The 13240-nt window shown below is 39.0% G+C and overlaps 1 protein-coding gene and 1 pseudogene across 34 annotated transcripts in view; one reads left to right on the top strand and one right to left on the bottom strand.

Moving 5' to 3' along the window:
- TUSC3 (tumor suppressor candidate 3) overlaps positions 1–13240 on the bottom strand; it is a 434904-nt gene that overhangs the window by 153238 nt on the left and 268426 nt on the right. The window lies entirely within an intron of this gene.
- LOC100431174 (clathrin light chain A pseudogene) lies at positions 9216–10221 on the top strand (annotated as a pseudogene).

The following is a 13240-nucleotide window of genomic DNA, read 5'->3' as shown; positions in this document are numbered from 1 at the left end:
AATGAAAAAAAGAGAATGGTCCATGCTTTCAGAACTTCATATGTTAACTTATTGATAAGCAAACTGGAGAAAAATAATGATTTCTATTTATAAGCAATAAAAGAGCATAATGAAGATGTATCAAAGTCAAATATGTAAAAAACATTTCATTTTCACCTAGTAATGAGAGAATGGCACAGAAAAAATATCCTAAATATCTAATATTGTCAGATACTCTAATTACCTAATAGCAAATATTCTGAGATGTAATAGTATAAACAATTTAGGTGCTGTAGAGATTACCTCGGTAACATAATAAAGACATTTCTGAACCATAAATGAGGTTTGAGGCAGTCTCATATAATGGGAAAAGCATTCCTGAGGTTGAAGTTGAGTTTATACTTTGAACCTAAAATTATAACTTAAGGATTTAGTAAGTATATAAACTGAAAATCAAGTCTCAAACACAATATATAGTTAATACTTATTTCATAATTGTTTTCATAAGTTTACTGAAAGAAATTGTAAAGTCCTAACTTACAGAGTTTTTAACTGATTCTTGCAGAATTTGATGTAGAACACAATAATTTTTTTTCTTGGCAGAAATAAAATGTTGATTTTCACAGTAATTGCTTCTTTGGGAGAGAATTACAGCATTTTTGCATTATTAACACAGCAGCTTTGCTAGACATCTATTATAAAATTCATTTTAGGAACAGGGCTTACTTTGAATATTATAAACTTCAATAGTATTTTTTAAGATTCATTTTAAGGGATAAAATAAAAGAGTATAAGTTATAGTAAAGAACAGCAATATTTTAAATTGTTTTTAAATTTGTATGGTGTATATTAACTTTGTATTTCAACACACAGTTTGGGGTAAACCAAATTAAATATATTTTGGATAAGTCCAAAACTTTTCAAAGATATTAAACTCTGATATAATCTGTATAAGGTAATTTATTAACTAGACTAAATACTGATATTGTTAGATGGCTAGAAATAATTTCACAAATAATAATCTTTGCATTGTATATAGCTAAGTCTGCTAGTTACTACGTAAATCAAAACAAATCTAAAACAATTTCTCAGGTTACTCCAAAAACAGGACAACAAAAACGAAATCCTTTACATTTTACAAATACATAGGAAAACACAGGCAGCATTATGACCTAAACAGATAATAAAATGTACATAACCCATTAGGTCTGGTCATTTTCTATGCACTTCCTTTGGCTCATTCATTCACTCATTCAACAGGTATGTGCAGCCTTATAGAGAGGATTATAAAGATGAATACAATTCTGATTCTGTGGTCAAGATATTTGCATTTGAGAAAGTTGTAGCAAGATAGCGAACTAGACCCCCCAGCACTTGGCACCCTCACAAAGACAGCCAAAACCTATCAAAACCTCTGAAATACAGCAAAGGCTGTGCAAGGAGGAAAGTTCATAGCCCTAAATGCCTACATCAAAAAGTCTGAATGAGCATAAACAGACCATCTAAGGTCACAGCTCAAGGAACTAGAGAAACAAGAACAAACCAAACCCAAACTCAGCAGAAGAAAGGAAATAACCAAGATCAGAGCAGAACTAAATGAAATTGAAACAAAAACAAAATACAAAAGATAAATGAAACAAAAAGCTGGTTCTTTGAAAATATAAATAAAACTGATAGACCATTAGCAAGATTAACCAAGAAAAATAGAGACAAAATCCAAACAAGCTCAATAAGAAATGAAAAGGGACATATTACAGCTGACACCACTGAAATACAAAAGATCATTCAAGGCTACTATGAACACCTTTAAGTGCCTAAACTAGAAAACCTAGAGAGATGGTTAAGTTCCTGGCAAGATGCAACCCTCCTAGCTTATTTGATACCCTGAGCAGACCAATAACAAGGAGCAAGAATGAAATGGTAATTTAAAAATTACCAACAAAAAAAAGTCCAGGACCAGCTAGATTCACAGCAGAATTCTACCAGACATTCAAAGAAGAATTGGTGCCAATTCTACTGACACTATACCACAAGACAGAGAAAGAAGGAACCCTCCCTAAATCATTCCATGAAGCCAGTATCACCCTAATACCAAAACCAGGAAAAGACATAACCAAAAAAGAAAACTACAGACAGATATCCCTGATGAGCATAGGTGCTAAAATCCTTAACAAGATGCTAGCTAACTGAACCCAACAACGTATCAAACAGATAATCCACCTGAACAGATGATCAAGTGGGTTTCACACCAGGGATGCAGGGATCCAGGCACACAGTGTAAGCTGTGACTGTATCTACCATTCTGGGGTCTGGAGGACGGTGGCCCTCTTCTCACATCTCTACGAGGCGGTGTCCCAGCAGGGACTCTGTGTGAGCGCTTTGACCCCACATTTCCCTTCCACAGTGCTCTAGCAGAGGTTCTTGAGTGCCCCACCCCTGCATCAAACTTCTGCTTTGACATCCAGGTGTTTCCATACATCCTCTGAAATCTATACAGAGGTTCCCAAACCTCAATTCTTGACTGCTGTGTACTCACAGGAACCACATGGAAGCTGCCAAGGCTTGGAGCTTGTGCCCTCGGAATCCACATCCCGAGCTGTACCTTGGCCCGTTCTAGTCTCAGCTGGAGCAGCAAGGATGCAAGGCACCAAGTCCCTAGGCTGCACACAGCACGAGGACCCTGAGCCCAGCCCACGAAACTATTTTTGCCTCCTAGGCCTCTGGGCCTGTGATGGGAAAGGCTGCCCTGAAGACCTTTAACATTCCCTGGAGACATTTTCCCCATTGTCTTGGGGATTAACATTCAGCTCCTCATTACTTATGCAAATTTCCACAGCTGGCTTGAATTTCTCCTCAGAAAATGGGTTTTTCTCTTCTATCTCCTTGTCAGGCTGCAAATTTTCTGAACTTTTATGCTCTGCTTCCCTTATAAAACTGAATGCGTTTAACAGCACCCACCTCACTTCTTGAATGCTTTGCTGCTGAGAAATTTCTTCCACCACATACCCTAAATCATCTCTCTTGAGTTCAAAGTTCCACAAATCTCTAGGGCAGGGGCAAAATGCCACCTGTCTCTGCTAAAACGTAACAAGAGTCGCCTTTGCTCCAGTTTCCAACATGTTCCTCATCTCCATCTGAGACCACCTTAGTCTGGATTTCATTGTTCATATCATTATCAGCGTTTTGATCAAAGCCATTCAACAAGTCTCTAGGGAGTTACAAACTTTCCCACATTTTCCTGTCTTCTTCTAAAGCCCCCAAACTTTTCCAGACTCTGCCTGTTACCAAGTTCCAAAGTCACTTCCACATTTTTGGGTAGCTTTTCAGCATCGCCCCACTCCACCAGTACCAATTTACTGTATTAGTCCGTTTTCACACTGCTGATAAAGACACACCCAAGCCTGGGAAGAAAAAGAGGTTTAATGGACTTACAGTTCCATGTGACTGGCAAGGCCTCACAATCATGGCAGAAGACAAGGAGGAACAAGTCATGTTTTACATGGATGGTGGCAAGAGAGAGTTAATGCAGGGGAACTCCTGTTTATAAAACCATCAGATCTCATAAGACTTATTCACTATCATGAGAATAAGCATGATAAAGACCTACCCCCATGATTCAATTACCTCCCACTGGGTCCCTCCCATGACATGTGGGAACCGTGGGAGTTAAAATTCAAGATGAGATTTAGGTGGGGACACAACCAAACCATATCAGATGGTGCTAACTGCATGCCTTCCTGTACCCGATCTTTCCACTGACACCACCACTGCACTGACACTAGTGGCCTCTCCGCAAACGCTGCGCTGCCACTGCTGTCAGTGTGAATGGAGGGCACATGCCCAAAAGATCTCTGCCCCTGCTATGACACCGGCAATGGTGCAAACACATGCTTGGATGCCACCACACCAGCACACCCAATACCTCAGCTTGGGCAACGAGCATGCACCCTGCCAGACTGCTGCTGCTGCTGGCGTAAGTGAACCAGCACGAATCTCACTGCCACCTTCCTATGAAGCATTTTGGCTGACACCACTCATGGGAGTGTTGTGACCAGCAATCTGGGAACAACTCACCCCCTCCAGTAATCAGGAGGGACCAGAGAACAAAGCTAGGGCCTGAAACCAGCCCCCCAGAGTTAGGGCATGCAGCTCGGGAGTCCTGAGCTAAGCCATGGCCCCCCAAAATCTTCCAGAATCAAAGCCAGTCAACCATGCCCACCTTATACCATAATCAAGGCCCCAAGGATATCAAAGCGGATAAAAGAACAAAAAACTCATCCAAAGGATGACAACTTCTAAGACTGAAGGGACATCAGCCCACGAAGATAAAAACATCCAGTGCAAGAACTCTGGCAATTCAAAAAGCCAGAGTGTCTTCTTACCTCCAAATGGCCACACTAGTTCCCCAACAATCTTTTTTTTTTTTTTTTTTTTTTTTTGGATGGAGTTTCCGTCTTGTTGCTCACGCTGGAGTGCAATGGCGTGATCTCGGCTTATTGCAGCCTCCCAGGTTCAAGTGATTTTCCTGTCTCAGACTCCTGAGTGGCTGGGATTAACGGCGCACGCCACCATGCTTGGCTAATTTTGTATTTTCAGTAGAGACAGGGTTTCACCATGTTGGCTAGGCTGGTATGAAACTCCTGACCTCAGGCGATCTGCCCGCCTCATCCTCCCAAAGTGCTAGAATTACAGGCATGAGCCACTGTGCCCGGCCAACATGGTTCTTAACCAGGCTACAATAACAGAAATACAATATGGAATATGGATAAAAACGAAGATCACTAGGATTCAAGAGAAAGTTGAAACCCAGTGCAAGGATTCTAAGGAATACAATAAAACTATACAGGAGATGAAAGACAAAATGGCTATTTCAACAAAGAACTAAACTGAGCTGATAGAGCTGAAAAACTCAGAGAATTTCAGAATACAATCGCAAGTATCAACAGCACAAATGAGCAAGCTGAGGACGGAATCTCAGAGGTCAAAGACTGGCTCTTTGAAATAACTCATTCAGAAATGAAGAAAAAACAATAAAGAATGAACAGAACCTATGTAAAATATGGGACTATGTAAAGGGAACCAAATCTACGACTCACTGGTGTCCCTGTAAGGGAGAGAAAGCAAGCAACCTCGAAAGTGTATTTCAGAATATCATCCGTGAAAATTTCCCCAAGCTTGCCAGAGAGGCCAACATTCAGAGTCAGGAAATGCAGAGAACCCCTGTGAAATGCTATACAAGATGACCATCCCAAGACACATGAGATTCTCTAAGGTCAAAATGAAAGGAAAAAAAAGCTAAGGCAGCTAGAGAAAAGGGCCAGATCACCTATAAAGGAAACCCCCAATAAGGCTTAAAACAGCAGAAACCCTACAAGCCAGGAGAGATTCAACCTATATTCAGCATTCTTTAAAAAAAAAAAAAAAAAAAAAAAAGAACTTCCAACCAAGAGTTTTATATCCAGCCAACTTCAGCTTCATAAGCAAATAAGTAAGACATCCTTTTCTGAAAGGGAATTCATGACCACCAGAACCACCTCAATAGAGGTTCTGAAGGGAGTACTAAATGTGGAAAGAAAAGACTGTTACTGGCCACTATAAAAATATACTTAAATACATACACCAGTGACACTGTAAAGCAACCACACAAACAAGTCTACGTAATAACCAGCTAACAGTAGGATGACAGGATCAAATCCATACATATCAGTATCAACCTTGAATGTAAACAGGCTAAATGCCCCAATTAAAAGGCACAAAGAAGCAAGTTGCATAAAGAATCAAGAACCAATGGTAAGCTGTCTTCAACAGATCCATCTCACATGCAGTGACATCCATAGGCTCAATGTGAAGAGATGGAGGAAAATCTACCAAGCAAATGGAAAACAGAAGAAAGCAGAGTTTGGTATTCCAATTTCAGACAAAACATTCTTTAAAGCAACAAAGATCAAGAAAGACAAGCCCTTTACATAGTGGTAAAGGGCTCAATTCAACGAGAGGATCTAACTATCTTAAATATATATGCACCCAATAGAGGAACACATGTTCTTAGAGACCTATGAAGAGACTGACATAACCACACAGTCCAATAGTGGAAAACTAGTAAATTGACCACTAGCTAGACTACTAAAATAAGAGACAATATCCAAATAAACTCAATCAGAAATGACAAAGGGGGTGCTACGACTGACTCCATGGAAATAGAAAAAAAAAAAAGCCCTCAGAAACTACTACAAATACCTCTATGCACACAAGCTAGAAAACCTAGAAGAAACAGATAAATTCCTGGAAACATACAACCTCCCATGACTGAACCAGGAAGAAAGTGAATCCCTGAACTGACCAATAATAAGTTTTGAAATTGAATAAGTAATAAAAAGCCTAACAACAAGAAAAAGCCCAGGACCAGCTGGATTCAAAGCCAAATTCTACCAGATGTATAAAGAAGAGCTGGTACCATTCCCACTGAAACTATTGCAAAAAAAAAAAAAAAAAAAAAAAACAAAGGGGGGGGGGGGGGTCTCCTCCCAAACTCATTCTATGAGGCTAGCATCATCCTGATACCAAAAACTAACAGAGAAACAACAAAACAAGAAAACAGTAGGCCAATATTTTTTTATGAACATGGATCCAAAAATCCTCAACAAAATACTAGCAAACTAAATCCAGCAGTACATCAAAAAGTTAATCCACCATGATCAAGTAGTCTTTATCCCTGGTATGCAATGTTGGTTCAACATACACAGATCAATAAATGTGATGCACAACATAACAGAACTAATAAAACAAACCACATGTGCCAGGCGTGGTGGCTCACGATTGAAATCCCAGCACTTTGGGAAGCCGTGGTGGGTGGATCACTTGAGGCCAAGAATTCAAGACCAGCCTGGCCAACATGGTGAGACCCTGTCTCTACTAAAAATACAAAAATTAGCCAGGCATGGTGGCAAGCACCTGTAATCCCAGTTACTTGGGTGAGGCTGAGGCAAGAGAATTGTTTGAACCCAAGAGGCAGAGGTTGCAAAGAGCCAAGATTACACCACTAAACTCCAGCCTAGGCAACAGAGCGAGACTGTCTCAAAACAAAAACCAAACAAAAACAAAAACCACCTGATCATCTTCATACAGGAAAGGCTTTCAAAAAAAAATTCAATATTCCTTCATGTTAAAAACCCTCAACAAACTAGACACTGAAGGAACATATTTCAAAAAAATAACAGCCCTCTATGAAAAACCCACTGCCAACATCATAGTGAATGGGCAAAGCTGGAAACATTCCCCTTGAAAGCTGGAACAAGATAAAGATGCCTTCTCTTACCACTCCAATGCAACATGGTACTGTTAAGTCCTAGCCAGAGAAATCCAGCAAGAGAATGAAATAAAAGGCATCAAAATAAAAAGAGAGGAAGTCAAACTATCTATGTTTGCAGACAATTTAACTCTCCACCTAGAAAACCCCATAGTCTCTGTCCAAAAGCTTCTTGATCTGCTAAACAACTTCAGCAAAGTTTTAGGCTAGTAAATCAATGCAGAAAAATCAATAGCATTCCTATACACCAAAAACATCCAAGGTGAAAGCCAAATTAAGAATGAAATCCCATTCACAACTGCCACAAAAAGAATAAAATACTTAAGAATACAGGTTATCAGGGAGGTAAAAGACCTCTGAAATATTTCATAATTATAAAATGTTGTTCAAAGAAATCAGAGATGATACAAACAAATGGAAAAACATTTCATGTTCATGATTAGGAAGAATCACTATAGCTAAAATGGCCACACTGCCCAAAGCAATCCACAAATTCAGTGATATTTCTATCAAACTACCAAGGACATTCTTCACAGAATTAGGAAAAAAACTATTTTAAAATTCATATGGAACCAAAAAATAGCCTGAATAGCCAAGGCAATCCTAAGCAAAATGGGCAAAGCTGGAGGCATTTGGCATTACCAGACTTCAAACTATACTGCAATGCTACAGTAACCACAACACCATTGTACCGGTACAAATATAGACACACAGACCAATGGAACAGAATAAGGAGCACAGAAGTAATGCTGCACACCTACAACTCTCTGATCTTTGACAAACCTGACAAAAACAAACAATGGGGAAAGGATTCCCTATTCAGTAAGGGGTGCTGGGATAACTTGCTAGCCATATGCAGATGACTGAAACTGGATCCCTTCCTTACACTATACATAAAAATCAACTCAAGATGGATGAAATACTTAAATGTAAAAACAAAACGATAAAACTCCTAGAAGATAACACAGGAAATACCATTCTGGAGATGGGATCTGGCAAAGATTTCATGATGAAGACACTCAAAGCAACTCCAAGAAAAAGAAAAATTGGCAAATGGGACATAATTAAACTAAAGAGTTTCTGCACACCAGAAGAAGTTATCAACAGCATAAACAGACAACCTACAGAACAGGAGAAAGTGGCTGCAAATTATACATTTGACAAAGGTCTAATATTCAGAATTTGTAAGAAACTTAAATAAGCAAAAAAAAAAACTCCCTTTAAAAGTGGGCAAAGGACATGAACCGACACTTTTCAAAAGCAGACATACATGTGGCCCACAGCATAAGAAGAAATGCTCAACAGCGTTAATCATTACAGAAATGCAAATCAAAACCACAAGATGCTACCTCACACCAATCAGAATGCCTATTAAAAAGACATAAAATAATAGATTTTGGCGAGATTGTGGAAGAGAAGAAAGTTTATACACTGCCAGTAGGAGTGTAAATTAGTTCTGCCAATGTGGAAGGCAGTCTGGCGATTTCTCAAAGAGCTTAAAACAGAATTAATTACCATTTGACCCAGCCATCCCATTATTGTGTATACACCCCAAAAAATATAAATTGTTCTACCATAAAGACACACAGACGTGTATGTGCATCATAGCACTATTCACAGGAGCAAAGAAATGGAATTAACCTAAATGTCCATCAATGGTAGAACAGATATAGAAAATGTGGCATGCATATATATATATATTTATACACACACACACACACACACACACACACACACACACACACACCATGGACTATTAAGCAGCCATAAAAAAGAATGAGATCATGTGCTTTGCAGAAACATGAATGGAGTTGGATGCCATTATCCTAAGCAAACTAACACAGGAAGAGAAAACCAAATAGAGCCATGTTCTCACTTACAAGTGGGTGGTAAACACTGAGTACATATAGACACAAAGAAAGGAACAACATCTCCCAGACACTACCACAGCCACGATTGCCAGGCATGGTGTTGGTGGGTTGGTGTCTGTGTCGTTAAATTGCACGACATGGCTGAGCAACATCCCTTCGGTGTCCCTGCTGGCACCCCTGGGGATCCTGTCCTGGGGAACGGAGTGGCTGGCGCCAGTGAAGAAGACCCAGCTGCGGCCTTCTTGGCACTGCAAGAGAGCAAGACTATGGGTATCAAGAACAACAAGGTCGCCTTCGACATCCTGGATGGTGTCACCCCCAGGCCCCAGCCACAAGGTGAACAGCTGGGAGTCCAGATGCTGTTGACGGAGTGATGATGGTGACTACTACCAGGAAAGTAATGGTCCAAGAGACAATTATGCAGCTATTTCACAAGTGGATCGATTCCCATCCAGCCTGAAAATATATGCAGATGCAAAGAAGAGAAAATGGAATGCTTAGCAGCCCTTGCTGCTTATTCTCCGAAGCAAGAAGCAGAGTGGAAAGAAAAAGCGATAAATGAGCTAGAAGAATGGCGTGCAAGACAAGACGAGCAGCTACAGAAAAGAAAGGCAAACTACAGGGCAGAAGATTTTGTAAATGACATTGACGAGTCATCCCCCTGCACTGGGTGGTAACAGGTGGCCCGGTTGTTTGACTGTAACCCCAAGTCAGCAAGCAGGGCAAAGAGGTCTCCTGTATGCACTCAGTCCTCAACTCCCTCAAGCAGGCGACCCCTGGTGCACTGACAAACCGCTCCTGGAAACACTACATCTGCAGTATCTTAATCCTACCTAGTGAAATTCTACAAAGTAACTGGATTAATTACGCTGAGTTCTTTTGGACCAAACTTTTTTGTGTTTAGAGCTGATCATTGTTTGTGATTGCACGTTTCCTTCAACTGTGTCCTCCCTGGCATACAGAGAGGAGAGGAGAAGGAGGAAATGGAAGGGAGGGAAATCTCCTAACAGCAGCCTCAACGTGTGCTTTTGTGCGTTATTCTGAGAATAAATTTCTATTTCAAACAAAAACAAAAGACCAAAGACAGAAACAACAGATACTAGGGTATACTTGAGGGTGAGGATCATAAAACTACCCATCGGGTACTATGCTGATTACCTGGGCAATGAAATAATCTGTACATCAAACCCCTGTGACACACAATTTAACTATATAACAGATCTGCACAAGTACCCTTGAACCTAAAAGTTAAAAAAAAAAAAAAAAAGAATACTGAAGTGTTAGTTTTTGAATGTTTATTTTATGTAAGGTTACGAAAAACTTACTAAAGTCAGAGACTAGCATTATGTGGAGTCAAAACCTAATGATGCTTGATAAACATGCATTGAAAACAATTTTTCTGAGTTACTGAAATGTACATCTTATTCTGAAATTGTAGAGTTATAAATGAGAAACGCTTTTTTCAATCCTGAATGTATATAATTATGAGTATCTTTAATATAATTGTACTCAACTTTATTGATACGATGAAAATAATATCTTTGGTTTTTTTAAGACCACAGGACTCTTTCCAATGTACTACACAATTTTCCTAATAGGAAAAAAATTAAAGAATATGAAAAAGTTAACAGGTAGTTTATCCCTTTCTCTGTGGGAGGACTGATTCTTCTCTTTTTGTTCTTATCCTTTCTCCTCTGATGTAATATTTCTTCTTGATACTCAGAGAATAATTAACTGTATTAGATGAAGTTTGACATATTAAAACACATTCTCATTATGCAGTTCCATAATCCCTCTGTGCATGTGGTTTTAATTACAAACAAATGTTAGCAGGGAAAACAATTTTTTTCTGATATACTTAACATTTTGAAAGGCTAAAGATACAATCTGAGTTCCTATTTGCAAAGAAAGATTTATTTATCTATGCAGTATCATTTATTTAGTATCTGCCACGTGTGAAGTGCTTTGTCATGAAGTAAGGGTACAAATCACAAGGTTCTTCGTTGTAATTAATTGGCAGGATCATAGATAGGCAGCAACAGTTGAAGGGAAGTGTAAGAGCAGTCTGGGCTGGCAATCAAGATTCAGTCAGACGTTAGGATCAAGAATGCATGTAGTTTAAATGGTGACACTAAAAATTAAAACCAGGTGGAAAGAAGGAATGAGCGGCAACAACAGATGCTGAAGATGGAGTTCTACCAAAGCTAACTAGACAGACACAAATATGAAAAAATAAAAAGGAATATAAAGATTAAGGCAGAGTTTGAAAGACATCAGATGCAGTGTCACAGCCATAAAATGACCATGGTGCTGAGGCAAAATTCTAAAACAATTGCAGCCTCAAATATCATGTAACTCAATAAGAAGCGAGGCTCTGAAGACTGAGACTTGAGGCTAACCGATATCATATTATGTATCCCCACTAGATGATGAGCTGCATGATGTATCTGTACTACTACTGGAAACAGAGTACCTAACAAATATGTTAATCAGATGGAAAAATAAAGGCATAAATAAATAAGAGGGAAGAATCTCAATTCCAAATACTAACATCAAGATTTCTGTATATCCTTAATGTATGTCAATTACTCTTGTCTTACCATTTTTTTGTTTTTTGTTTTTTTTGAGACGGAGTCTTGCTCTGTCACCCAGGCTGCAGTGCAGTGGCACGATCTCGGCTCACTGCAAGCTCCGCCTCCCGGGTTCAGGCCATTCTCCTGCCTCAGCCTCCCGAGTAGCTGGGACCGGACTACAGGCGCCTGCCACCATGCCCGGCTAATTTTTTGTATTTTTAGTAGAGACGGGGTTTCACTGTGTTAGCCAGGATGGTCTCGATCTCCTGACCTTGTGATCCGCCAAACTCGGCCTCCTAAAGTGCTGGGATTACAGGCTTGAGCCACCACGCCCGGCCAGCTGGGTTTTTTTGTTTAAAAATTTCAGGATAATGTTAACATTCTCTTTGCTGGTGGTATGAAGACTGTAATAAAGCTACTGAATGCCCTTTGTAAATATTTCTGTTGAAAATATAATAATTATATTTAATCTAAATCAGTCTATATGATTTTTAAGTTTTTTAAAAAATGGGATGATAGCATCCTTAATGACTCTCAAAGACCTAGCATGTGCAAAATCCCTGAGGCATGAAAGTGAAGAAAGTTGGATAAAGTACAATATGGTATGGCTGCCTAAGAAATAGAAAAAAAAAATGCCTCGATGATAAATTTTAGACTAAATCAGCAGGTCATTTTGCAATAAAATGTTCTGCATGTGCATGCAGAATATAACGCTTAGTTTTACTCACAACTGAATTGTAATGCAGTGAAAATTTTTGGACTATATCTGGCAAACCCATAGCAATCCTCAAGCAGTAGCTAAAATCCAAATCTTGAAAATAACGCATTTGTTCACGGTGGGAGTTACAGCCTACGCATAAGCTTTATTTCATTAAATGCATATTGTTAAAGATTATTGCTTTTTTAACAACAAAAATTGTTTTTATGTCCTATGTAACCATATGTTTGTATAGTTTCCCTTTAGCTACACAATAATGACTGCTTTTGTGTTGATTTTCATGCTGTTAAGTGGACCATTAGTACTTGACTTGTGCCATTACATAGTATCTTAATAGTGACAAACAAATAAACTTGCAAAGCAGCACCGCATCACACTGCCTGCACTATTAATTTTCTTTATATTCTCTGTATTCATTTACATTTAAGCTCAATGAAGAAACACTTTGTCAATATCTTCAGGTTTTCCTAGACATGTTTGATTTCACAATTAATATGAGCAGAGTCACTAGCCTTACAAATACCACTAATTTTTCAAAAAAAAAAAAACCTAAGAACTAAATGAATACCCAACAAAATACTCCTGTCTTTTACTAAGCTTGTCAGGCCCAATTTGCTCAATGCAGTTGGAAAATTAAGCTATTAAAGATAGAATCAGAATTTCAGAGCTCATATAGGTCTGTTATATATTGATTCTGTTGACTGCCACAAACTATGCGCCATTCTAAACAGTGTTTCCCCCAAGTGTACACTGTTGATGTTAAGGTCAATGTGTAGTAGAAATAAATAGCCCA

This window comes from Homo sapiens, chromosome 8 (assembly GCF_000001405.40).
Source record: "Homo sapiens chromosome 8, GRCh38.p14 Primary Assembly".
Classification (NCBI taxonomy): domain Eukaryota; kingdom Metazoa; phylum Chordata; class Mammalia; order Primates; family Hominidae; genus Homo; species Homo sapiens.
The sequence above is the reverse complement of the archived record's forward strand: the minus strand, read 5'-3'. Positions and strand labels throughout refer to the sequence as shown.